General features: G+C 42.2%; 1 protein-coding gene across 9 annotated transcripts in view, besides 7 other annotated features; it reads right to left on the reverse strand.

Moving 5' to 3' along the window:
* Nucleotides 6,106-6,609: an enhancer, noted in NCBI's record as "H3K27ac-H3K4me1 hESC enhancer chrX:16593879-16594382 (GRCh37/hg19 assembly coordinates)". NCBI's record gives its function as "activates a minimal SCP1, AML or CMV promoter by ChIP-STARR-seq in naive H9 embryonic stem cells {active_cell/tissue: H9 hESC(naive)}" and the evidence as "EXISTENCE:reporter gene assay evidence [ECO:0000049][PMID:30033119]".
* Nucleotides 8,123-8,626: an enhancer, noted in NCBI's record as "OCT4-NANOG-H3K27ac hESC enhancer chrX:16595896-16596399 (GRCh37/hg19 assembly coordinates)". NCBI's record gives its function as "activates a minimal SCP1, AML or CMV promoter by ChIP-STARR-seq in naive H9 embryonic stem cells {active_cell/tissue: H9 hESC(naive)}" and the evidence as "EXISTENCE:reporter gene assay evidence [ECO:0000049][PMID:30033119]".
* Nucleotides 8,627-9,131: an enhancer, noted in NCBI's record as "OCT4-NANOG-H3K27ac hESC enhancer chrX:16596400-16596904 (GRCh37/hg19 assembly coordinates)". NCBI's record gives its function as "activates a minimal SCP1, AML or CMV promoter by ChIP-STARR-seq in naive H9 embryonic stem cells {active_cell/tissue: H9 hESC(naive)}" and the evidence as "EXISTENCE:reporter gene assay evidence [ECO:0000049][PMID:30033119]".
* Nucleotides 9,132-9,634: an enhancer, noted in NCBI's record as "OCT4-NANOG hESC enhancer chrX:16596905-16597407 (GRCh37/hg19 assembly coordinates)". NCBI's record gives its function as "activates a minimal SCP1, AML or CMV promoter by ChIP-STARR-seq in primed H9 embryonic stem cells {active_cell/tissue: H9 hESC(primed)}" and the evidence as "EXISTENCE:reporter gene assay evidence [ECO:0000049][PMID:30033119]".
* Nucleotides 9,795-10,641: an enhancer, noted in NCBI's record as "NANOG-H3K27ac hESC enhancer chrX:16597568-16598414 (GRCh37/hg19 assembly coordinates)". NCBI's record gives its function as "activates a minimal SCP1, AML or CMV promoter by ChIP-STARR-seq in naive H9 embryonic stem cells {active_cell/tissue: H9 hESC(naive)}" and the evidence as "EXISTENCE:reporter gene assay evidence [ECO:0000049][PMID:30033119]".
* Nucleotides 10,642-11,488: an enhancer, noted in NCBI's record as "NANOG-H3K27ac hESC enhancer chrX:16598415-16599261 (GRCh37/hg19 assembly coordinates)". NCBI's record gives its function as "activates a minimal SCP1, AML or CMV promoter by ChIP-STARR-seq in naive H9 embryonic stem cells {active_cell/tissue: H9 hESC(naive)}" and the evidence as "EXISTENCE:reporter gene assay evidence [ECO:0000049][PMID:30033119]".
* Nucleotides 16,993-17,776: an enhancer, noted in NCBI's record as "OCT4-NANOG-H3K27ac hESC enhancer chrX:16604766-16605549 (GRCh37/hg19 assembly coordinates)". NCBI's record gives its function as "activates a minimal SCP1, AML or CMV promoter by ChIP-STARR-seq in naive and primed H9 embryonic stem cells {active_cell/tissue: H9 hESC(naive and primed)}" and the evidence as "EXISTENCE:reporter gene assay evidence [ECO:0000049][PMID:30033119]".
* CTPS2 (CTP synthase 2) overlaps nucleotides 18,349-26,587 on the reverse strand; it is a 124,912-nt gene continuing 116,673 nt past the window's right edge. For all 9 annotated transcript variants that reach the window (NM_019857.5, XM_006724503.4, XM_047442260.1 and 6 more), the window contains 2 exons: nucleotides 21,102-21,212; nucleotides 18,349-20,125 (listed from right to left, as the gene is read on the reverse strand). In NM_019857.5, coding sequence (NP_062831.3) covers nucleotides 21,143-21,212 — 70 coding nt within the window. In that variant the 3' untranslated portion in view covers nucleotides 18,349-20,125; nucleotides 21,102-21,142. The remainder of the gene's footprint in view (nucleotides 20,126-21,101; nucleotides 21,213-26,587) is intronic.

A 26,587-nucleotide genomic window follows, 5' to 3' on the forward strand; every position in this document is an offset into this window, starting at 1 on the left:
ACTTTCTCAAAACCCAGAGGCAGTGTGGTAGGGCTAGGGGGCCTGGGGAGCTGCTGGAAGAAACAAGCAAGATGACAGATTACTACACCCAATACCAGGTCTCATACATGTCCATTTCATACTGGTTTCATCCCAAACATGAAAATATACATAACCAAAGGTTAGATGCTTTAAGATTTTAATATATATTCTTGTGCTCTGTGAATTATACCCAGGGATTCTGCCATGAGCAAGTGGTAGATCTGCTGGCAAAGACTCTCTCCTTGACTTAACTACAGTCAAGCTCCTCTGAGCCCTCTGCTCGACTAGGCCTGACCTTGGGCTTCCCTCTCTGTCCTTGTGGAATTCAGTTTGCACAAGAATCCTCCTAAGTCAGTTTAGTGAAAACCCTCCACCCTTGGTATCTTGCCACCCTTGATATCTTACAACCCTGGCCTGCCTTCAGCAAGAATTCTTTTGGGTCTAGAAGAATCCCCTTTACCCCTGTGTTTCCTCTTAGTAATATTCCATCTACTGACCCTACTCTGACCCTTGGTTACAAATCACCCCTTGTCCTTGTTGGAACTGAGCCCAGTCTCTCTCCCCCACAGCAAGACCCCATAGCAGTGATCCCTACACCAATCATGATAGTCCCCCTCCCCTTGAATAAAGTCTGCCTTGTTTTTGTTGTTGTCATTGTTGTTGTTGTTGTTGTTGTTGTTGTTGTTTTGAAACGGTGTCACTCTATCGCCCAGGCTGGAGTGCAGTGGGGCAGTCATGGCTTACTGTGCCTCAACCTTCCTGGGCTCAGGTGACTCTCCCACCTCAGTCTCCCGAGTAGCTGGGACTACAGGCATCCACCACCATGCCTGACTAATTTTTGTGCTTTTTGTAGAGACAGAGTTTTGCCATGTTGCCCAGGCTGGTCTCGAACTCTTGGGCTCAGGCAATCCTCCTGCCTTGGCCTCCCAAAGTGCTAGGATTACAGGCATGAGCCATGGTGCCAGGCGCTGCCTTATTGTTGTTTAACAAGTGACATTGAAAAATGTTTCTTTAACACTGCACATCCCTTTTTACAGAGTCTAAAGCTGTGCTTTTCAATCTGTTGTCACTTACTGATATGGTAGGAGGACAGGGAAGTGCTGGGAGGAGAAGGATGGGGTCCCTGGTGAGGGCTCCACCCCCAGGCCTGTGCCCACGGACCTAGGTGAGGACAGGAATTTCTGTTTTCATGCCCAAATGTTGCATTTCCCAAGACCACCCCGGGCCACCATGCCCCCATCCTGTGCCTATAAAAACCCTGGGACCCTAGTGGGCAGAGACACAAGCAGCTAGGAACACACCAGCAGAAGAGCACACAAGCGGCAGGACATCTAGAGAAGCAGAGGGGCAGAAAAACACACCAGCAGAAGAACACACTGACAGACTCTGGCAAGCCATGGACTGCAGAATGGTGGGATGACACGGAGTTCAGTGGAGGGTGGTCAAAGCAGCCTGACTCCAGGGGAAAACCACCTTCCCACTCCATCCCCCTTCTGGCTCCCCATCCATCTGCTGAGAGCTACTTCCGCCATTCAATAAGGCCCACGTGTGATCCGATTTTTCCAGTACACTAAGGCAAGAACCCGGGATACAGAAAGCCTTCTGTCCTTGCAATAAGACAGAGGGTCTAATTGAGCTGATTAACACAAGCTGCCTGTGGACGGCAAAACTGAAAAAGCGCATTGTAACACACGCCCACTGGGGCTTCGGGAGTTGTAAACACTCAACCCTAGATGCTGCTGTGGGGTCAGAGCCCACGCTCTCCACAACCTGCCCATCTGCATGCTTCCCCTAGGGGTACCACAAGCGGGGCACCGAAGAAGCAAGCCACAACCCCATGGCACACCCTGCAAGGGGGACAAGGGAACTTTTCCCGTTTCATTACCACATGTGGCTATTGAGCATTGAAATGTGGCTAGTCTGAAATTAGATATGCTACAGGTGTCATATTTACACCAAGGTTTGAAGACTTGATATGGGAAAAGGAATGTAACATATTCCATTAGTAAAATTTATATTGATTACATCTTGGAATCTATGTTTTAGATATATTGGGTTAAAATTACTCAATTACTAAAAGTAATTTCACCTCTTTTTTTTTTTTTTTTTTTGAGACAGAGTCTCACTCCGTCTCCCAGACTGGAGTGCAGTAGTGTGATCTCAGCTCACTGCAACCTCCACCAGTTGAAGTGATTTTCTTGCCTCAGCCTTCCGAGTAGCTGGGACTACAGGTGCATGCCACCACACCTGGCTAGTTTTTGTATTTTAGTAGAGACAAAGTTTCATCCTGTTGGCCAGGCTGATCTTGAACTCCTGACCTTAAGTGATCTGCCCGCCTCATCCTCCCAAAGTGCTGGGATTACAGGCACGAGCCACTGTGCCCAACCCACCTGTTTCTTTTTACTTTTTAACACAGCTGCTAGAAAATTTCGAGTAATGCATGTGGGTGACTCACATTATATTTTTTGGATAGCATAGGTCTACAGAGCAGCTAGCGTAAAGAAGGAAAGAGAAAGGGGATCTTGGAGCTCTTCTAAAACCTGGGATGTCTCTGCCTGTTAATAAGAAGAGTGACAGCTTTCACAGTGACTCACAACTTTCAGGATGCTCTGATTCTGGGCAACGTTTTTTGAGAAGCTGGACACACTGGGCCTGAGGAGCATCTTTGGTAAGTGTCTGGGATGCTAGCTAATAATTGGTCTTGCCTGCATTTACAATACAATGATGCATCTACTCAATTCCTACTCCTCTCTCAGGACTTGGTTCAAGCATTGTATTAAGGCCTTCCCCAGCTGGATCATATCTTACAGGTCTTCTGTATTCTCTGCTGCATCATTCAGAGTCAAGCCCATCAATGTGTGTACAATACCTGTGACAGTCTGAACTAATTATTAGCCTTTTCCCTGTACATTTTTCCTTAGTATCTCTCATAGTTATCTTTTTCACTAAATAGAGAAGTAGAATCTCACCTGAAATAAGAATGCCGCTTGAACAATATAGAAAAAAAAATCATTTTTGTGTGATATGTCTTTAGAAGAACCCAGAACAGTCTGGTAACATGACGTCCAGGGAAGGGAACAAAGTAGTTGAGGACAGAGGTTAAAGAGAGACTTTTCTGTGACCTTTTATTTTGGAACCTCATGTCATACATTCTTTTAAAACCTTTTTAAGAGACTATCTTCACTATATAGAAAAAAGGGTTTTAAAACTTGGATTCTACTGAAGCCTTGAAAAAGATTTTCTTGCATCACAGCCTTTAGATCAGCAGTTGACCAACTTTCCCTGTAAAGGGTCAGATAGTAAAAGTTTTAGGCTTTGTGAATCTGTGTCAACTACTCTCCTTTTGTAGCATGAAAGCAGCCATAGACATAAAGGAATGGGTGCGGCTGTGTTCCAATAAAACTTTATTTACAAAAATAGGCAGGCCTGAGCCTGTTAGGGGTAGGAGGTGGGGGAAGTCACATCTTTAAATAACGCCTCCTTTGTATGATACAGAATTTGTAATCATGCTCTTTACTTTTTCATTCTTAAACAGGTTAAAATAAATCTTTTAATTCAAGTAAAGAATTATGCTTAGGGCTGGGCACAGTGCCTCATGCTGGTAATCCCAGCACTTTGGGAGCCTGAGGTGGGTGGATAACTTGAGGCCAGGAGTTCGAGACCATCCTGGCCAACACAGTGAAACCCCATCACAACTAAAAATAGAAAAAATTAACCAGGCATGAAAATGCATGCTTGTAATCCCAGCTACTTGGAAAGCTGAGGCAGGAGAAATTCTTGAACCCGGGAGGCAGAGGTTGCAGTGAGCCAAGATCACACCACTGCACTCCAGCCTGGGCGACAGAGCAAGACTCCATCGCAAAAAAAAAAAAAAAAAAAAAAAAAAAAAAAAAAACAGAAAAAAGAAAAAAAAAGAATTATAAAAGAATTATGCTTAGGAAGTTTGGAAAAAAGGAAAGATAATGGGGGGAACAGGAGAAAAACATCTAGTTTATGAGATAAAACCATAGGGTCTGTGATAGTCCCTCAGAAAAGCAAAGATGTTTCAAAAGCCACAAAAGAAAAATCTCATCCTATCAGAAATCTTGGTATGAATCAATGCTGGCAACAAAGAAGTCACATTCTGGGTTGAAAATTACTTTTGCATCTTCTTACCTCTGAAGACACTGAAACAATTGTGCAAATCAACTCAGAAATTGCTATTCCAGAAATGTAGATCATATAAATTATCCAAATATCAATCTCTTACCATTAAATTCTCTACAGAAGTGATTATCATGACAAGTAGTCTCATCATCCTGGTCTGTGGCATGTGATGAGGTTTCTCTAGTTCAGAGAATCCCCTTGAGAGGATGATTCAGCCTGGAAAACTTTAGTTTCCTGGGATGCTGGCTCCATCCTCCAGGTTCTAGGCTTTTATCTTACTCTATAGAATTCTCCCAGCATATTGACTAAAAGCATAGTCTCCCTCAGAGAAAACAAATCGAAACAATACATCTATCTTCAAAACAATTTCGTGTCGAAGAAAAAGATGAAAGTTTAAGACAACACTCAAGCTTAAAAATGAGCTCTATGATCAAATGGTATCAACTGGATTCCCCAGCTTTTCACTGTTATTTGTCTCAGAGGAAGCAGGTAATACAGACAAAGCCACAGGGATGGAAAGTGGGCCTCACTCAGGAGCAATGAAACTGAATGACGTCCATGGAATTTGCCATCATCTTTTAGTGATATTCAGGGACATCAGTCTCAAAGAACAGAAGCTATTTGTATTGAGTACACATGAAAATAGATGGGAACAATAGACACTGGGGACCATTAGACTGGGGAGAGAGTGTGGGAGAAAGCACAGAAAAACTACCAATTGGGTACTATGCTCACTGCCTGGGTGATGGGATCATTTGTACCCCAAACCTCAGCATCATGGAATATACCCAAGTAACAAACCTGCACATATACCCCCAAATCTAAAATAAAAGTTGAAATTATTTTTTTAAAAAAGAAGCTGCTTGTGATGGGGCTCAGGACATACTACTCCAAAATATGTCACTTCAGCGTATCAAGTATTTGAAGCTGAAGAAATCTGAGGAAACCACAATAGCAGGAAGGTCTCTCTGACCTTTCCCTGCCCTTCTCCTCTGACGGAGGTCATAAGACCCTAGGTGAGAGGTGCCGTCCCTACAGCTGGAGCAAAGGAGCATTCTTATCTCTGAAGACACAGGGACACAGAGAAGAATGTGAATGAACAAGCCTTGCTAAGTTCCCCCAGTTCACTACCCCAGATCATACTCTTTGCCCTATCATATTTCTCCATTAATCTTGTGACAGGAAAATAAATCTTGGTGCCCCAAAATCACTAAGCTAACGGGAAAAGTCAAGCTGGGAACTGCTTAGAGCCAACCTGCCTCCCGTTATATTCAAAGTCATCCCTCTGCTCATTGAGATAAATGCATATCTGATTGCCTCCTTTGGAAAGGTTAATCAGAAACTTAAAAGAATGCAACCATTTGTTTCTCACCTACCTGTGACCTGGAAGCCTCCTCTCCATCTCCAGTTGTCCTGCCTTTCCAGATGGAACCAATGTTCATTTTACATATGTTTGAGAGGTGACAGCGAGCTGGCAGTCCTCAGAGCCCTCGCTCCCTCTCCGCGCCTCCTCTGCCTGGGCTCCCACTTTGGCGGCACTTGAGGAGCCCTTCAGCCCACCGCTGCACTGTGGGAGCCCCTTTCTGGGCTGGCCAAGGCTGGAGCCGGCTCCCTTAGCTTACAGGGAGGTGTGGAGGGAGAGGCGCGAGCGGGAACCGGGGCTGCGTGCGGCGTTTGCGGGCCAGCTGGAGTTCCGGGTGGGCGTGGGCTTGGCGGCCCGGCAGTCGGAGCAGCTGGCCGGCCCTGCGGGCCCCGGGCAATGAGGGGCTTAGCACCCGGGCCAGCGGCTGCGGAGGGTGCGCTGGGTCCCCCAGCAGTGCCGGCCCACCAGCGCTGTGCTGGATTTCTCGCCGGGCCTTAGCTGCCTTCCCGTGGGGCAGGGCTCGGGACCTGCAGCCCGCCATGCCTGAGCCTCCCCCCGCTCCGTGGGCTCCTGTGCGGCCCGAGCCTCCCTGACGAGCGCCGCCCCCTGCTCCACGGCACCCAGTCCCATCGACAACCCAAGGGCTGAGGAGTGCGGGCACACGGTGCGGGACTGGCAGGCAGCTCCACCTGCAGCCCCAGTGCGGGATCCACTGGGTGAAGCCAGCTGGGCTCCTGAATCTGGTGGGGACGTGCAGAACCTTTATGTCTAGCTAAGGGATTGTAAATGCACCAATCAGCACCCTGTGTCTAGCTCAGGGTTTGTGAATGCACCAATCCACACTCTGTATCTAGCTACTCTGGTGGGGCCTTGGAGAACCTTTATGTCTAGCTCAGGGATTGTAAATACACCAATCACACTCTGTATCTAGCTCAAGGTTTGTAAACACACCAATCAGCACCCTGTGTCTAGCTCAGGGTTTGTGAATGCACCAATCCACACTCTGTATCTAGCTACTCTGGTGGGGCCTTGGAGAACCTTTGTGTCCACACTCTGTATCTAGCTAATCTGGTGGGGACGTGGAGAACCTTTGTGTCTAGCTCAGGGATTGTAAACGCACCAATCAGCGCCCTGTCAAAACAGACCACTCTGCTCTACCAATCAGCAGGATGTGGGTGGGGGCCAGATAAGCGAATAAAAGCAGGCTGCCCGAGCCAGCAGTGGCAACCCGTTGGGGTCCCCTTCCCCAATGTGGAAGCTTTGTTCTTTCGCTCTTTGCAATAAATCCTTCTGCTGCTCACTCTTTGGGCCCACACTGCCTTTATGAGCTGTAACACTCACCGCGAAGTTCTGCAGCTTCACTCCTGAGCCAGCAAGACCACGAACCCACCAGAAGGAAGAAACTCCGAACACATCCGAACTTCAGAAGGAACAAACTCCAGACGCGCCACCTTAAGAGCTGTAACACTCAACGCGAGGGTCCGTGGCTTCATTCTTGAAGTCAGTGAGACCAAGAGCCCACCAATTCCAGACACATGTTGACTGATGTCTCATGTCTCCCTAAAATGTATAAAACCAAGCTGTGCCCCTACCACCTTAGGCACATGTTGTCAGGACCTCCTGAGGCTGTCATGGGCACATGTCCTCAACCTTGGCAAGATAAACTTTCTAAATTAACTGAGACTTGTCTCAGACTTTGGGGGTTCATATTTTGGCAACCACGAAGGGATTATATGTGGAGATGCCCCTGACCTTAGGCAAATCTCCTATCAGTGCTTGGTACCAGCCTGAGCTAACTTTATGGCTCAAACCAATAGGACAATTTGTTGAGGTCTGGAAGCACTCCCTCCAGAGAATCCCCAAAATTTGCTTGAGATCAAAAGTTTATTTTGCTATACAACTCCTTTTTTTTTTTTTTTTTTTTTTTTTGGAGTTTTCCTTGCTTCCAACAAGGAAGGTAGGATTTCCTGTTTCCATGACAATGGAAGGCAGGTAACTGCCTTATAGAGTTTGAGCTCACTCCCAGCAAGGAAGATGAGTTTGAGGGTTTTTTTCCTGCTTCTAGGATGGTAGAAAGCAGTCTTCAGCCTGAGACCCATTCCTAGGTAAGTAGCTGAATTGGGGTTTTGTCTTGGTTAAAGTTTAACTACCAGCTGGTCTTAATTTCTCTTTACCGTTAGAGCGCTCGGTGATCATGTTGGGGGTTTTTTGTTATTGTTGTTTATTCCGGTCTTTCTCCCATCAGATTTGACCAACTCTACCTGACTTGGTCCGATCTGAGTGAGAATTCCAAATTATGGGTAACAAAGCCTCTCTAATTTGGCCCAAATTCCTTGCAGCTGCAAAAGAGGGAAAAAAGAAAACAACAACAACAAAAACAAAAAACAATGCCCTTGGTTTCTGTGTTTGCTTCCTGTCTTAAAAAAAAAAAGTTCTTTCATTTACTTTTCTTTCACCCTACACCTCCTTCCCTTCTAGAGGAGGCTTCTAATGACTTGAACTCCTTTAAAGAATTCAGAACAAAGGTGCCACTTACCTCTTTGTAGGGGGTGTTCTGTTTTCTTTGTGGAGTTTCAAGAGTCATGGACAGATTCTTCTTAGGATGAAAGCTCTGTTTTCCTGTATTGCCTGACCTGACCTCTTTGGCTTTGGAGGTACCAGAGATTACCATGTACTGTGAGAAGATTTGACCTTGGTGTGTGTAATGGCGGACAAGAGCTACAAAGTAGGGGTGGCTGAGCACAGTTTACAGGAAATGGTCTTGGCGGCTGCTGTTGTTTTTTCTCTCCTAGGAACTTGTTAAGGATCTTAATTCTAGTTCAGGCATGCATTCTAAGGGGTCTTCTCTATTGCTTTTTCTCCCAAAATTAATCTCAATTCAGCTTGTCTGTGCTCATTTGCGTGAGGAACTGAGCTATTGTTTTCATAGATAAATGAGAGACTGAGTTTTCTCAGCTCCAAAAAGAAAGGGCATTTGCTCCTCCCAGCCAAAAGGTGCCCCAGGTGACCAGGGGCTTCATGGGAGTGTCTGGGGGGTTAACCCCAGTGGCAGTAGCCCCACAGGGAAATCCCCAATAAAAATTAATTTTTTAAAAAGGCTCATCCAGGAAACACACATAAGAGTTGATCACCAGGCATTTTGAGCCCTCTCCAAGGTCACAGACCTCTGGAGAGAGAAGCTGAGACATGTAAGAGGGTGGAAGCAACTCAGTGGTGACACACTGTGGAGTCCTGCCCACAAGCAGCACGCATTGATCCACCACACAAAACCCCTAGGCCACAGCTCAGTTCTTCCTTTTAAGGAAAAAAAATGTGGGAGACAATCTAAAACTGAGGAGAAAACAAAGAGAATGACCCCCTTTCGAGCACTCCTTAGGTTTTATGGCACCTCTACTTGGCAGAGTTTATGTAAAATAGAAGTAATATGGTTTTTGTGCTCATTTACATTAAGGAAAAAGAGCCCTAAGGTTGACCTGCAAACTATAGAGTTCCTAAGTTCTCTTTTTCTCTATTTTTCTTTTCTGCCTACTTTAAATCTGCTGTTATTTTTCTATTAAGTGAAAACCACTGTTTGGATCAAACAGGTTTTTTTTGCAAGCCTGTGAATTTGTATTTATCTCATGGCTAAAGTTCTCATGGTTAAAGTTCTGAAGTAAAAGCTAGAGGATCTTTGTGTGTGTGTGTGTTTGTGTATATTTGAAAGGCCTTTATAATTTCTATAATTTTATGTTTAATTGGCAATTAAATCCATTTTAATTTCCCTCTAGCACACCAGACTTTTTCTCTCCGTACCTTAGGATGTAAATTTTGCTTTTTGATTTTCACCTGAGTTGTTTCCTTTCATATGCAAATTTAAAGCTATTTAGCTGACAACTGCCTAGGGTAATAAAACAGGTTATCAAGAATTTGAAAGTCCTAAGATGGGGGAAAAAAAGGTTTTTATGAATCTGTAACATCTATCAGCATACCTAATACGTCCACGTATCGTGTTGCATACACAGTGTTTACTGAAGATATATAAAAGAGCTCTAATTAATTGGCTTAAAAAATAAAGCGCTTGAATCAAATGCTTTATAAGGAAAAAAGAAAACACTAGTCAAATGCTTTTTCAAGTTTATGTAACTTAAGTAAAATCTTTAATAAATAAGCTAGCTTTAAAATTATTGCTAAAGTAATATTAGAAGTGTCTTAAGAATTGCCAGCATACATTTTCGTTTGCATTTATTAATCAAGCAATTTCATACTTATCCCTGCCAAATACTATAAGTTATCAAAATTTGGCATAAGGGCTACAAAACTATAAAGCCAGCCCAAAACAGAATAATTTTTGCTTGTGTAAACTTTAATAAATAAGACATTGATATTGGTTTAAATAAAAATAGCTACATCTTAGATCTAGTAAGATTACCATGACTTCTAATTGTGTGGCTTTAGGCAGTCTAGTCCACAGGCAAGTAAGGTTTGTTTTGGGAAGGGACTGTTATTGTCTTTGTTTCAAAGCTAAACTATAAACTGAGTTCCTCCCTAAGTTAGTTCGGCCTATGCCCAGGAATAAACAAGGACAGCTTGGAGGTTAGAAGCAATAAAGTTCAACTTTTATTGCATCTCACCATTTTCTGTTTTCTCTCCCCTTTTAAAAGGTGCGAAACAGTAAAGCTCTCCTTCGACTCATTTTCAGCTCATAAAAGTTTTTTTTTCCTTAAGTTCTGTTTGTTGTGGACTAATGCTAACAATGTTTTCTTAAAGGTCTAAAGGAAATGTTTTCTTCCAACATAATATTCTGTGCAGTGCAGACCTTTTCTTTTGCCTTTTGGTAACTGGCCTAACAGACTTTACATTTTATTGAAACAATTCCTATGCCATTATTATTGTCATACGCGTCCGTGTGAAGAGACCACCAAACAGGCTTTGTGTGAACAATAAAGCTTTTTAATCACCTGGGTGCAGACGGGCTGAGTCCGAAAGGAGTCAGCGAAGGGAGATAGGGGTGGGGCCGTTTTATAGGATTTGGGTAGGTAGTGGAAAATTACAGTCAAAGGGGGTTGCTCTCTGGCGGGCAGGGGCAGGGGTCACAAGGTGCTCAGTGGGGGAGCTTCTGAGCCAGGAGAAGGAATTTCACAAGGTAATGTCATCAGTTAAGGCAGGAATCGGCCATTTTCACTTCTTTTGTGATTTCTTCAGTTACTTCAGGCCATCTGGATGTATACGTGCAGGCTTGGGCTCAGAGACCTGACAATTAAGTTTCGGTTTGCTTAGGGAAAAAACTGAGATTAAACTTTTTTTAAATTAAGGTTATTACATCTGTATATCTAGAAAGATGTATGTGCTTCTTAAAGTATTTGTGACATTGAGTTACAGGGCTTTGACTCCTGGGTCTAAAAAGGATACCAAGTCCTGCTAAATCTTAAACACTGACAGCAATTATAGCTTCATCCTCAGGCGTGGTAGAAGATGTCAATCAAAATAAACTGCATTCCTGAGACACAGGGCCAGAAATTAAAGCTATTCAACTCCTCAAGGCCCAGGGACTATCGTGGAAGACGTGGACATGTGAGATTGTAAGGGCTGATTTTGAGAGATAAAATAAGTTCAGTTTCTCTATAAATTAATCATTAATGTCAAAGACACACTGATGCAAGACCAGCATATGTGCCCCTATGTCAAATTAACAAGGTTTTCTTGAAGCATTAACCGACTGCTTAATAATAATAAAGGTTATAAAGGTTATAAAAGGCTTATGGAAGTCATATCTTACGGTCAAGATTAAAAATCTTATACATTGTTTATAAAATTTTGAAAAACAAATTTAATTGGCTTTATGATGTTTCTATTAGGGCTTATTGTTTGCAAAATTAAGTCTCCTCTCAAAGAATGAAGGTTTTCTCCTTTTTTTGAAGTCCTTGAGTTATCACTTTGGTCAAAGGAATGACTTATTTTACAATGACCTGTGACATCACGTGTTTTAAATCTTTGATATTTGACAAACTTTCCAAAATCAAATTGTAAATTATGTCTTTCTCTGACCTAATTAATCCTTTAAGATATTAGGCTCCCTAAAGTCCAAAATAACATAATTTGGCTTATTTGGTATAAAAATTATACAGGAAACATTGTCAAATATGAACTGGTGTTTGGGTTTTTTTGGGCTGTATTTGTATAAATATGGATATATGGGACTATAATTCTAATATGCTTAGTGTACATTATCAGTAATAATTATAACTGTTATGTTAAGTTATTGTGTGCCACAGAGGTAATGAATTTCCTTGTCAGTTGTGTCCTTGACTATGGCTGCCCCTAAACTTTTTGTCATCCATAGACAATTGTTGTCTTGTTTTGGTCCTCTTTAGAAGGTGGTTTTATAATCATCTATAAAACTCTTAACAGGTGCTCTTGAGTACAAGTTTCTGATAACTTTGGAGATTGTGACATCAGAATAGAGGAAAAACTTTTAGGACTCATGGAGAAGTGAAATGTTCATGAACATCAGGCAGAACAGGAATTAACTGCATGGACAGAACTAATACAAAACTGAGGTAATCTTTTTGACTTTTTGCTTAAAATGCTGCTGATCCTTTGTTTCGTTTTTCCAGAGTCAGGAAACTTCTTTTGCACTATTGACAGCTTTTAACAATTTAGTATACTCCTATGAACAAAATTTAAAATATATTTGTTTCTCTCTACCTGATTTCTCCAGAATTTGGAAACTATTTGTGAATATTCTTAACTTATGGCAACACAGTTATTTGCATAAGTGCAATAAGAATCTGTTTTCAGACACAATTGGAGAAACTGGTTATTTTGCCAAGGCTTTGACTGGAATGGTGTGCTTTCCTTTAAAAAACCAAACTTGACTTATGGAGCCAATAAAAGCCCCTTGGAAATACTGGCCTCATACCTAGTCTACACAGTTCCTGTACAGGGTTCCTGACCTGTGGTAAGTGAAGCATGTCACTTTCTGACAGGCCCAGGAACCCCAAGTTTATATTGGAACCTCAAGAGGAGAGGAATTCACCCAACTCATAGGTATTTGATGGTACAAATCCATGGCTGAGCTTGGCTTTTAAAAAGTCTTATCCGAGATTCCTTCTATGGAACAAATTTCCATCAAAGCCAATTTAAAAGCCTATGTAAAAAAATAATTATTCTTGCTGCACTTTATAGAAATAATCATGCCAAGTATAACAAAGCAAATCGGTCCTACCATGATTTCTCTTTAGTAGAAATGGGAAACTGCAGAGAGAAAAATTACGTTTCAGAAACTATAGTACACCTGTTGTTAGACTCTAGCCTTGCCTAATGTTTTTCAATTGTTATTATTTTTTACAGTTTGGACTGAATTCTAATTTTTCTTGGCTACAAGTCTTCAAAATAATGTTTTCAAGTTTTTTCCTTCTTTTTTTCCCCCATTTTTCCTAATTTGGAGTCACTGAAAACTAAGCTGTGCTTTTGTAAACCCTGCAAACTGAAGCCAGACAACTTAAACTTTAGAAGAAAATAACAGCAACCTGCTTACATACATAAGGCACTTTCATCCCTGCCTACTGATATATAAACTTCAGAGTAATGTGGCCTATATCGATTTTCCAGGATTGTTCTTTTGTTTGTTGTTGTTTTTATCCCTTCCTCCCCCATTTTCTCTTCATAGGACATGAGACTTCACAACCTGCTAAAAATGAACTTTCCTAATAACTGGGGACCTACCCGTCTAGGAATAAACCATCCTAGCCATGACAGATCAGATGAAACCTGAGACCAGAGACTCATTTTCTCCTAAAATGCTTTCTCCAAAAGATTTTTAAAAAGAAAAGGGGGAAAATATGAATGGAAAATAAATCTTGGGGCCCCAACATCACTAAGCTAAAGGGAAAAGTCAAGCTGGGAACTGCTTAGGGCCAACCTGCCTCCCATTCTATTCAAAGTCACCTCTCTGCTCACTGAGATAAGTGTATATCTGACTGCCTCATTTGGAGAGGCTAATCAGAAACTCAAAAGAATGCAACCATTTGTCTCTTATCTACCTATGACCTGGAAACCCCCTCCGCACTTTGAGTTGTCCCACCTGTGAAAGGAAAATAAATCTTGGGGCCCCCAAATCACTAAGCTAAAGGGAAAAGTCAAGCTGAGAACTGCTTAGGGCCAACCATCCTCTCATTCTATTCACAGTCACCCCTCTGCTCACTGAGATAGATGCTATCTGATTGCCTCCTTTGGAAAGGCTAAGCAGAAACTCAAAAGAATGCAACTTTCCATCTCTCACCTATCTGTGACCTGGAAGCCCAGTCCCTGCTTTGAGTCTTCCTGCCTTTGCTTCAAGCTGTCCCGCCTTTCCAGACCAAACCAATGTACTTCTTACATATATTGATGTCTCATGTCTCATGTCTCCCTAAAATGTATAAAACTAAACTGTGCCCCTACCACCTTGGGCACATGTCGTCAGGACTTCCTGAGGCTGTGTCATGGGCACATCCTCTACCCTGGCAAAATAAACTTTCTAAATTAACTGGGACCTACCTCAAATTATCTGGGTTCACACGCCTTTGCCTCGAGTTGTCCCACCTTTCCGGACTGAACCAATGTACATCTTAACACATACTGATTGATGTCTAATGTCTCTCTAAAATGTATAAAACCAAGCTGTGCTCTGACCACCTTAGGCACTTGTCATCAGGATCTCCTGAGGCCATATTATGGGTGCACGTCCTCAACCTTGGCAAAATAAGCTTTCTAAATTAACTGAGACGTGTCTCAGATTTTCGGGATTCACAATCTCCACTCTTCACCAAACCTACAATAAAAAACCCTCAGCTTCTCAGCTTTAACTGTTTCTTCGGGTCTTCATTTTCTTATGAAGGTTCATGTGTCACATAAAACTTTAAAAAATTTGTACACTTTTCTCTCATTAATCTGTCTTCTGTTATAGGGCCTCAGCCATGAACTTGGAATGGGTAGATTAAAAAAAATATTTTTCCTCCCCTACACATTTTTTTTTTTTTTTTTGAGACGGAGTCTCAGTCTGTTGACCAGGCTCAAGTGCAATGGCGTGGTCTTGGCTCACTGCAACCTCTGCCTCCCAGTTTAAGCAATTATCCTGCCTCAGCCTCCTGACTAGCTGGGACTACAGGCGCGTGCCACCACACCTGGCTAATTTTTTTGTATTTTTAGTAGAGATCGGGTTTCATCATGTTGGCCAGGCTGGTCTTGAACTCCTGACCTCATGATCCGCCCGCCTCGGCCTCGCAAAGTGCTGAGATTACAGGCGTGAGCCACCACACCTGGCCCTCCCCTACACATTTCTAAGTATCTTACCTGATTTTCTATGGCACCTTTGGGTTGCAGAACCTTAGCTGTAGGAGAAATGGTGGTGACGGCCAATGTCTGGCACTGACTTTAACAGAGTACAGATGTGTATGTAAATAGTACTTATTTTAACAAAATAGAAAGTTCAAGAAAGAAATACAGCAACAAAAGTGACAATTAGATTGGAAGAGACCCATTCTTGTTTGCTTGTTTTCTCCATAAGCCATCTAGCTTTTTTTTTTTTTTTTGTGAGACGGTCTCACTGTCTCCCAGGCTGGAGTGCAGTGGTGCCATCACAGCTCACCTCAGCCTTGACCTCCCAGGCTCAAGTGATCCTCCCACCTTAGCCTCTCAAGTAGCTGGAAGTATAGGCATGTACCACCATGCCCAGCTAATTTTTTTTTATTTTTCATGGAGACAGGGTCTCACTATATTGCCCAAGCCAGTCTTGAATTCCTGGGCTGAAGCGATCCTCCTGCCTCAGCCTCCCAAAATGTTGGGATTATAGTCATGAGCTACCATGCCCAGCCCTAACTCCATTCTTAATTGTCACTTAGCCTACACTTTCACTTCATTGACATTTATAGGCTGACAACAAGCAGATGAAGATACCATTGAAACAGTGCCACCACTCACCCAACTGTCCTGTCAGTCAGGAAAAGCACATCCCCACTGGGTCTCAGAGCTCTCGGCCCGTTGTCTTTGCACTGTGTGACCACACACAAAACCAGGTAAAGTATTTACCTGCTTTGTTCAGGAGGCTGTCCTTGGCTCTCTAGTTTCTGATAGGACCCCATTTTAAACTCTCAAGCCCCCTTGTCCTTGTTCTTTGATAGTGTCATAGCCTCTAAACATATCACAATTATTAATATAATTAAATACTTATTTCCCTATAGATTTGTTTAAAGCCTGCCTTCCCCCAAGAGATGGTCAGGTCTGAAGGCAGGTTTGTTACAGATGACAGGCTCTTGGGCTCATCATGTAATAAAAGTTAACATGGGGACAAGCAGATTTCCAGAAAAGGCTTTTATCTTGGGGCTTGTGCTCGAGTGCAGGGGAGACACCAGAGGTACAAGGACCCTCAAGCTGACTCCCTGAAAAGGTGGTAGGGATTTTTTTTATTAGGCAAACACAGGAATTGGTATCATGGGTAGGGTATGCAGGCTGGCCTGGGCAAAGCACGTGACGGGTAGGGGATGCTGGTTAGCGTATCTAGTTGTGATGGTTATCTTGAGTAATGGGCCACCTGGGGGTCTGGCCAGCTGTAACAAGGCTGCAAATCAATTGTTCAGGGTTCCTTCCCTTCCCATGATGGGACATTCTGAAACCTCGGTTTGATGTTTAGATTTCCTAAGGCCAGTTCCTGGAATTCTTTTAAGTAAAAGGCATGATTAAACATTATGAGAGCACAGAAGAATGGCTATTTTCTTTGTAAGCCTGAAGCCTTATCTAAAACCAATTGTCAGCAAGGCAGGGGTGTGGGTCTTGTGATCAGTGAGACAAGAAGAAAAAAAAAAACGTGAAAAAGGAACTGAGTTCCTTTTCTATTCTATCTGAGGTTACTCCCCACTGCACCCCCGGCACCTGACATTGTGAGAGGCATTTGAACCAGAGTGACTCCATCTTGAATAGGGGCTGGGTAAAATGAATCTGAGACCTACTGGGCTGCATTCCCAGGAGGTTAGGCATTCTTAGTCACAGGATGAGATAGGAGGTTGGCAGGACTGGTATCACAAGATACAGGTCATAAAAACTCTGACCATAAAACAAGATGTGGTATAGAAGCCAGCCAAAACCAAGATGGTGAGAAAAGTGACCTCTAGTCATCCTCACTGCTCATTATACTCAAATTATAATGCATTAGCATGCTTAAAGAAATTTCCACTAGCACCATGACAGCTTACAAATGCCATGGCAGTGTTCAGAAGTTACCCTATATAGTCTAAAAAGGGGAGGAACCCTCAGTTCCAGGAATTCCCCACCCCTTTCCCAGAAAACTCATGAATGATCTACCCTTTATTTAGCATATGATCAAGAAATAACCATAAGTATACCCAGTCAGCAGCGCGTGCCGCTGCTGTGTCTATGGAGTAGCCATTCTTTTGTCTCTTTTACTTCTCTAATAAACTTTATTCTATGAATTTGCCCCCAAATTCTTTCTTGCGCAAGATCCAAGAACCCTCTTTTGGGGTCTGGACTGGGACCCCTATCACCATGCCTGGCTCAAGAAACATTTGTTGAGTAATGATTTATAGTGACTTTCTATGTGCTCATGTCTCACTCTTGTTCCAGTACCTGTATGCTAAGCAGCCATGCTACTGTCCTTCTGTGCTTCCCTACATTCCAAGTTCAAGGGGACAGGATGGTTTATTGTTTCTTAAGTGCTTGTCTTTCTGGTCCTGTTTACATGCATCATTAGCCCACAGGAAAGCACTCTGTTACAAATGACTTTAGAAATCACAATCATTAAAATTGAAAACTTCCATTTAAGCCAGACTACCCCTTTGTGATGTTAAAAGTGTTGCCTCTGAGCTTCCAACCCCCTCTCTATGAGGCCTATTCCAGCTTTTAACCTACCGTGGGTGCGGGCTTTTCATTTGGAGCCTCTTGTGATCTTCAAGCTGTAATTTTCGCAAGCAGGGCCCTAAAGCTCTTTAATTTTTTTGTTTACCAGAATTACTCATTTCATTTTTGTATGTGCTTGGTAGATGAATTTTCTGTGGCATCTTACAAAATAAGGCCATAATACCTTATGGCATTAAAAAAAAGTTGGGGGGGGAGCAAAACCACCACAAAAAAATTAACTGAACAATTAAAATATTTAAATTAGTATTAGAAAGCTTAAATGTAGGCAACAACTAAGTCATCTCAAGCACATTCAACAGGAAAAAGTAGAAAACATACTAGATAAGAACGTCAGAGAATGGGGCAAGGACTGGGGGAGGTGAAGGAGGTGCAGAGCTGGATCCTGTCTTTATTTGAAAATTTGATTTTGTGTTCAAATGTGAATTATTTCATTTTGATTTTTTTTTTTTTTTTTTTTGAGACGGAGTCTTGCTCTTGTCGCTCAGGCTGGAGTGCAATGGTGCAATCTCAGCTCACTGCAACCTCCGCCTCCCGGGCTCAAGCAATTCTCCTGCTTCATCCTCCCAAGTAGCTGGGATTACAGGCACGGGCCACCATGCCCAGCTAATTTTTGTATTTTAGGTAGAGACGGGGTTTCACCATGTTGGCCAGGCTGGTCTCGAATTCCTGACTTCATGATCCGCCCGCCTTGGCCTCCCAAAGTGCTGGGATTACAGGTGTGAGCCACCGCACCTGGCCTAATTTTGATTTTTTAAAATAATACTACATTAAAATATTACTGATCCTTCTTCAGAAGTTAAAGAGAATTACATATGACACAGCAATTCCACTCCTAGGCATACACCCCAAAAGAATTAAAAACAGGCATTCCAACAAACATTTGCATGTGATTGTTCATAGTATTAGTCACAATAACCAAAAGGTGAAACAAATTGTGGTATATTCATACAATGGAATTTTATTCAGCCATAGAAAGGAATGAAATTCTGACACATGCTACAACATGGGTAAACCTTGCAAACGCCATGCTAAATGGAAGCCTGACTGACCAGGGGCTCTTGGGCTCTCAATGCAATAGAAACTGACATGGGGCCAAAAGACTTCCCAGACAAAGCACGCGAAGGGTAGAGGATATAGGTTAGCATCATCTGGTTGTGATGATCATCTCGAGTAATGGGCCACCTGGTGGTCTGGCCAGCGGCAACAAGGCTGTAAATCAATTAATTATTCAGCATTCCCTCCCAAGATGGGACACTCTGCAATCTTGGTTCCCTATTTGGATCTCCTAAGGCCAGTTCCTGGAATTGTTTAAGTAAAAGACATGGTTAAGCATTATGAGAGCACAGAAGAACAATACAGAAAGGCCATTTTCTTTGTATGACTAAAGCCTCGAGGTTAGCAGGTATGGTGTCAATGAGGTAGTAGTATGGGTTTTGTGATCAGTGGGAATGCATGAAAAAATGCTCTAGTGGGGGTGAGCCAAAGCCAAGCCCCCCTTCCTACTGTCTCAGAAGAAGCCAGACACAAAAGACCACATATATTGTGTAATTCCACTTATATGAAATATCCAGAATAGAAAAAGCCACAGAAATAAAAAGGAGATCAGTGGTTGCCAGCGGACAGGTGGAGGGGAAGATAGGGAGTGACTGCTAGTGTGTACAGGCATTTATTTTGGAGTGATGAAAATGTTTTGGAAATAGTTAAAGGTGGTGGTTGCTCAACATCAGTGAATGCAACCAAATTGTTCACTTCAAAATGGTTAATTCTATGTTACGTGAATTTCACGTCGATTAAAAAATATATATACAGGTTGAGCATCCCTAATCTGAAAATCCAAAATGCTCCAAAATTTCAAAATTTCTGAATGCCAACATGACGCTAGAAGTGGAAAATTCCATAACTGATCTCATGCCAGAAATCACAGTCAAAATGCAGTCGAAACTTTGTTTCATGCACAAAATTATTTAAAATATTGTATCAAATTACCTTTAGGCTATGTATATAAGGTGTATATGAAGCATAAATGAATTTCATGTTTAGTCTTGAGTCTCATCCCCAAGATATCGCATGTATATGCAAATATTCCAAAATCTGAAATTCAAAACACTTCTAGCCCCAAGCATTTCACATAAGGGATACTCAGACTGTATTGCTGATCTTGATTCCTGAGTTTTTTGGAGCCCCCTTAAATTTTGTGCCTGAGGCAAAGCCTTACTTGCCACCCCCAAGTCTTGGACCTATTCAATTTTACTTTTACCAGGAAATAAACAGGGTGAGAAACTGCAATGATCTTGGACCACACACAAATCTGTGGCTGAGTTCCAGGTAACACAGTGACTCATTTTCTTACTCAAAATTACTTACAGCATGTTCCCTGCCATCCTTTCCATACAACACAGCAAAGGCACAGTGACCTGGACTCTTGCTCGTCATCCTAACATCCTGATCCGCTGGACAAAACATGAACACACTTTCTCCCCAGTGAGGTTGTTGGGAAAAATTTAATCAGCTACAGATATTTTAAGTACCAAAGGCTGCCTCTGGAGGGAAAAGAAAACTACCCCTCTGGTTCTGGTTGACAGAAGTATGTATTATCAGATTCCCTGTGAGGCTTTACATCCCATGTTTGCTGGAGAACAGAGGGATTCTCTAAGAGTGTAGTGATTTCTTCAGATAGTTCCTTCATCTTGCCTTCAATTATTTCAGAGGCTTAAAAGAAAAGAATATAAATATTAGCAACACCAGGAACTGAATAATACAAGTCTTTCAATATCTCCAGCTAACCTTTGCACCATTTTGGCTTGCTCCAAAGGGTCTCCATGTTTGAGGCAAAACTAAATAGACACAGCTTTGCATCTTCCCTGATAAACATGAAGAGACCTCACAGGAAAGCAATGAACACTTTACAAGTCTTCCAAAAGCTGCTGTCTCTGCTAAAGAACAGCTTATACAAGTCAAGGCCTGCCATAATGCCTAGGGCAATCCAGGCACTATCTGCCACTGAGCATAAATTTACTGAAGCTATCCAGGCTGGTATTCTCTCTAATAGTGCATAATAGAGCAATGGAAAAATAAGCTGCCCTTGGACACTAAGCCTGTCTCTTGCATCTCCCTACAAAGAAATCAAATACTATTTTATTTTATTTTATTTTATGTTTTATTTTATTTTAATTTTATTTTATACAAATCCAAGGAAATCTGCTCTTCTATGAGTGGCCTAGACCAGGGATCAGCAAACTGTTTTTGTAAATAAAATTTTATTGGAACACAGCCATGCTTGTTCACTTACATATTGTCTATGGTTGCTTTCCTGCTACAACAGCAGAATTGAGTAGTTGCCGCAGGAACTGCATGGCTCATAAGCCTAAGATATTTACTCTCTGACCTTACAGAAAGTCTGTCAACCCCTGGCCTAGACTATGATGACTCTAACCACAACAGCCCCCACATATACATTTATAGGTGTACTTATATTTTTTTTTTCCTGGCCCAAGGTGCATTCCATTTTCCCCAAACACTAACTCTGTCATGGGCTGTCATGCGTGTCCTGCTAACTGTGCCAGTCAAATGGGAGTATCTCAAAGGGGCAAGATCCTGTGAGGCGAGTCCTATAATACCCGCCTCTATACCAAGATGACAGCTTGTCCATGAGAGAAATGAACAATCCTCGAAGATTCCATCTTACCCTCACAGGCAGTCCCCATTATTCCCAGTCATGTATTCATTTCAGCTTATTTCCAACTCAGCTATCCTTGGCTCTGAAAAGCTGTCATCACTGGCATCACTGTATCTATCACTAGATTAAAAGAGGAACTAATTTAGCAAGGTATAAAAAAAAAACCTGGACAATTATTCAATTTGCAATTTCAAACACATTCCATATTAACCCCTTAGTATGAGAGAAAATACTAAAGAATATTCTTTTAGCACTTTCTAGTCACCACAGGAAGAGGTCAGTCCAATCACATGCAATGGCCTCTTTCTTTGGTCAGAGAAACTGATCACTTATTTTCATCGTAAACTGGAAGTTACTTATTCAGAAAATTAAAAACGCATTTCAGTTTAGACTGAAATTTATAATCTTCTGAAGACCACTGATCATTTCTAAACTTTAATAAAAGCCTTGAAAGTAGATTGCCTTCCTGCCACCTTAACTATTGCTTGCTTTCTACTAGAGGTGTTATATTAACAAACTGATTTAAAATGAAAGCCTGAGTTGATGGACCCATTTATTTTCTGTGAATCTACTCTTGTCATACTAGGGACTAAACCTCAGTCCATCTGAGGTTGAGCATCACTTAGTCCTACTCCTACTGATGTCAATTTGTTCTTCAATGTAATAACATAGCATACGATATTACCTGGATCTTCAGTTTGTTTTTTTCATTCTTCATTCTTCTGATGACAACTGTTTCCTTTGGCAATGAGGGAGTTCAGGACACACTACCCCAAAATATGGCATCTTGGCATATTGCGTATGGCTCATAAGCCTAACATATTTACTCTCTAACCTTACAGAAAAAGTCTGTCAACCCCTGACCTAGACTATTATGACTCTAACCATAACAGCCCCCACATATACATTGCATGAAGCGGAAGGAATTTGAGACAGCATGTGCAAGAAGTTCTCTCTGACCTTCCTCTGACCTTCCCCCACTGAAGCAGGTCATAACACCCCGGAAGGATTTTCTGACCTTCTCCAAGCAGGTCAAAAGGCCCTCAGGTGAGAGGTACCCCCAACCCCCATACCCAGAGGAAACGAGTATCCTTATCTCTGAAGACACAGGATCCCAGGGAAGAATCTGAATAAACAGGCCTTGCTAAGTTCCCCTACTATATTACCATGAGATCACACTCTTTTTGCTCTATTATAACTCTCCATGACTCTCTACTCTTCATCAGGTCTGTTTTAGAAAGACCAGAGTTTACCTGTTTCTTTGAATCTTCATTTCCTTATGAAGGTTCCCATAATACTTACATTAAATAAATTTGTATGCTTTTCTCTGTCTCTTTTTTTTTTTTAAGAAATGGGGCTGGAGTGTGTGTGTGTGTGAGTGTGGGGAGGTGGTGCCTCACTGTTGCCCAGGCTAGTCTCCAACTACTGGCCTCAAGGGATCCTCCCACCTCAGCCTTCCAAGTAACTGGAATTATAGGCACCTGCTATAACAGGGATTATAGGCACCTGCTGCTGTGCCCAACTGTATGCTTTTTGCTTGTTAATCTGTTTTTTTGTTATCAGGGCCTTGGCCATGAACCTATGATGGGTAGAGGAAAAACTATCTTTTCTCCCCTCTAGCAACATGAAAGGACTAGAGAACAGTGAACACAGCTGTGTATCCCTGATTACATTAGCGAAATGCTGTAATTCTTTTCAGCTGCAGTTTGGCTTTTGGCTCTGTGTTTTAAGGACCACAGCACCTCCCTAGATCCAGATCTGTGCTGGCCTCCGTGCTTGAGAATCACAGCACCTCCTCATTACGGAGGAACTAGTCATCTACGATCAGCAAATTGCACAGGAGCTTGAACTTGGTGGTCATGAGGACTAAGACGTGCATATTGGCTCAAGACCCAGAAAACACCCTGCAGTGACATAAAAAATGTTAACGCACTCTCTACACTTGCCTTGAAATGTTATCTCCTTCAGATCATGTTTTCATTATGATTTTAGGTCAGCAGCGTGAAAGTTTTCCCTTCCAACATTCTCATAGGTCCAAGAGTTGGAGAAATAATTTTCACAATTATGCAAATTTCAAAATTAGAAATATATGGAATGCCCTGATTACCTTGAGTCACAGAAAGTATTCAAAATAGGACCAATTATTGACAAATATCGCCAGGTTGGGTTGCCTTAGAAATACCCCTTCCCCATGAGATAGCTCTGCAACTCAACTTTCACTCTGAGCTGTGGGGTCTGTTTGTGGTTCCTTTTACTCAGTTCCAAATAAATCAGCACACTGATCTACTCCACTAGAGTTCTACTGATCTATGGAGATGATATTACAAGGAAATGTTTCATGCCTGACCCATCCCCAGTCTTGGCCAAACTTTTGCTGATTTATAGCAATAAAAGTCTGAATTCCCAGCCAGGTGCGGTGGCTCACGCCTGTAATCCCAGCACGTTGGGAGGCCAAGGTGGGCGGATCACGAGGTCAGGAGATCGAGATCATCCTGGCTAACACGGTGAAACCCCAACTCTACTAAAAATACAAAAAATTAGCCGGGTGTGGTGGCGGGCGCCTGTAGTCCCAGCTACTCGGGAGGCTGAGGCAGGAGAATGGCGTGAACCCGGGAGGCGGAGCTTGCAACGAGCCAAGATCGCGCCACTGCACTCCAGCCTGGGCGACAGAGCAAGACTCTGTCTCAAAAAAAAAAAAAAAAAAAGTCTGAATTCCCTAACAGGTGAAATTTTACTTTTTTTTTTTTTTTTGAGGAAAGGGAACAATTGGAGAAACCCTATGCTGATAGACTAGAAAAGGAAGATTTTACTCTAAACATGCTAAGTGAATATTAATAAATAAACAAAATCACAGACAAATCTGCATAGGCAAAAAGACAATCTGTTTCCTGATTTGCATGCTCACTTCCTTCTCTGGCTTTTGAACAAAAACAGCGTAGGTGGTGGCGGGGGTGGGGGGAGCACTAGAATAAGGAGAGGAGATAGAAGATTCAGAACTGGCAGAAAAGACAACATATGTTAGATAAACATATAAAACAACATATCCTTAAAACCAATCAAGTAGAAAGATACCTCCTACTTAGACTTTAGTTCAGAGAAATCCCTTCTACTGGTACATAGGAATAACTGAAGAATATTTGGAGGAAAAAAAAAACAACAGCCAAAAAAGCTGATACATCCTATTCATGCACTCTCCCTGCTCAAATGGAGACTCCTTCCTCGTTCTATGCAACATTTTGTGTCATAGAATTAGCCAAGAAAGGGGATTTGGAAGTTGCACTCAACTTCCTATCTGAGATGACATGAAGGTCAAGGACGTTCAAGTGACTTACTTGGCACATAGATCCTTCAAGGTGAAGCCAGAATCCCCATTATACTAGCTCGGGGCACAGGGTAGGGTTTAAGCTGTGCCACAGGTAGGGCAGCAGGACCCACTAGGGCATGTCCCCTAACGCAAGTGACAAGGGCCAAAGGACTGAGGGAACTTCATTTCCTTGCGTGCCAGATTTTACACCCACTTCCTTCCCCATCTCTAAGCCTGGGGAAGAATACAGTGGGCTCATATCTTCCCCCCACACTCCTGGTTATACTATTTATGAGCCACGTACCTTTGGACAAGTCATTGACTTCTGAGTCTAGAAAAAATGGCAATAATACCTCCAAACTCACCAAAATGTTTTGAGAGTCAAAAGAAACTGTATAAACTTGCTCTGAAAACTATATAAAAACATAAGATGTTGCTATTGATAGGGGTTATATATTCATAACTTGGTATCTCCTCAAACAGTCATGGAAACATAAAGAACCAATAAAAACTGCTAAGTGTATGATTTTCAGGATTGTTTCCTATGCCAAGTATAATTTCCTACCCACATTAGCAAGTGGACTTGGGCGGGCCTGTTTCTAATCTAACAGCTCTCATTTCCTATCTGATGGCTGTCTGCCCCAAGCTCTGCCAACACATCCAAATGGCACAGGCTGAGTTTAACAAAATGAAGTTCAGCTTGAATTTATTCATCTCCAAGCTTAATGACTGGGTTCACTAATTGTCTTTCATATGTTCAGAGACTGGCGGTAGGACAATAAAACAAACCATGACACTCAAGAACACAATTATCAAAATATACGTTACTGCTGAACTTGCTGATTTTAGGACGTTCATCTGCCAATAAAAAACAACTGCTAGAAATAAAATGTGGGTCATCTGAATGCAGACCAACAGTGGCTCTTGCACATGCAATAAAATGTGAGTGCACTCTGTGCTGCATATGCGCCGTGAGCGCTACTCTATGCCGGGTTCATTTCTGTTTCACACAGAACAAACTTAAGTCATAAGCTAGATGTGTCTGGGTATATTTTCATTTAATTCAAGATATCCAGCTCTATCTTAGGACTAACCTATCTTTTTCAGCAATCTTTTACACACACACACACACACACACACACACACGTTTCTCACAGGGAAGAATTATCATATATTAGAGTCTTGCATGTTAAATTTTATGAAGTGGTATAAAATACAGACATGTCCCTATGTGTCTTGTTACATTTGAAGAGAGGAAATTTTTAATTAATTTATTTATTTAAGATAGTGTGTCTCGCTCTGTCACCCAGGCTGGAGTGCAGTGATTTGGGCTCACTGCAACCTCCACCTCCCAGGTTAAAGCAATTCTCCTGTCTCAGCCTCCTGAGTAACTAGGATTACAGACACCCATCACCACGCCCAGCTAATTTTTTATATTTTTAGTAGAGACAGGGTCTCCATGTTGGCCAGGCTGGTCTCAAACTCCTGACCTCAAGTGATCTGCCCGCTTCGGCCTCCCAAGAAGAGGGGAAAATTTTTAAACTGCACTGTCCAATATGGTAGCCACAAGCCACAGTGGCTATCTAAATTTAAATCAGTTAAAATGAAATAAAATTTAAAATTCCATTCCTCATTTGCACCTGTCACACTTCAAGTGCTCAGTAGCCATGTGCGCCTAGTGCCTACCATATATGGTAGTGCAGATTATAGAACATTTCTACCAGCGTAGAAAGTTATATTGGATAGTACTGATCTAAAAACAAATGAATAATGATTTTTAAAAAGCAAACTACAGTCACCATGCAATGGTCCTTGTCATTTCCTTAAAAAAAATTTTTTTTGAGACAGGGTCTTGCTCTGTCACCCAGGCTGGAGTGCAGTGGCACGATCACAGCTTACTGCAGCCTCCACCTCTGGGCTCAAGAGATCCTCCCACCTCAGCCTCCCGAGTAGCTGGGACTACAGGCACATGCCACCGTGCCCATCTAACCTTTTATTTTTATTTTTTGTAGGAATGGGGTCTCACTATGTTGCCCAGGCTGGCCTAGAACTCCTGGACTGAAGCAATACTCCCGCCTCAGCCTCTCAAAGTACTGGGATTACAGGTGTGAGCCACCATGCCTCGCCAAAAGTTTTTTTTTGTTTTTTTTTTTATTATTATACTTTTAAGTTTTAGGGTACATGTGCACAA

This window comes from Homo sapiens, chromosome X (assembly GCF_000001405.40).
Source record: "Homo sapiens chromosome X, GRCh38.p14 Primary Assembly".
Lineage (NCBI taxonomy): Eukaryota > Metazoa > Chordata > Mammalia > Primates > Hominidae > Homo > Homo sapiens.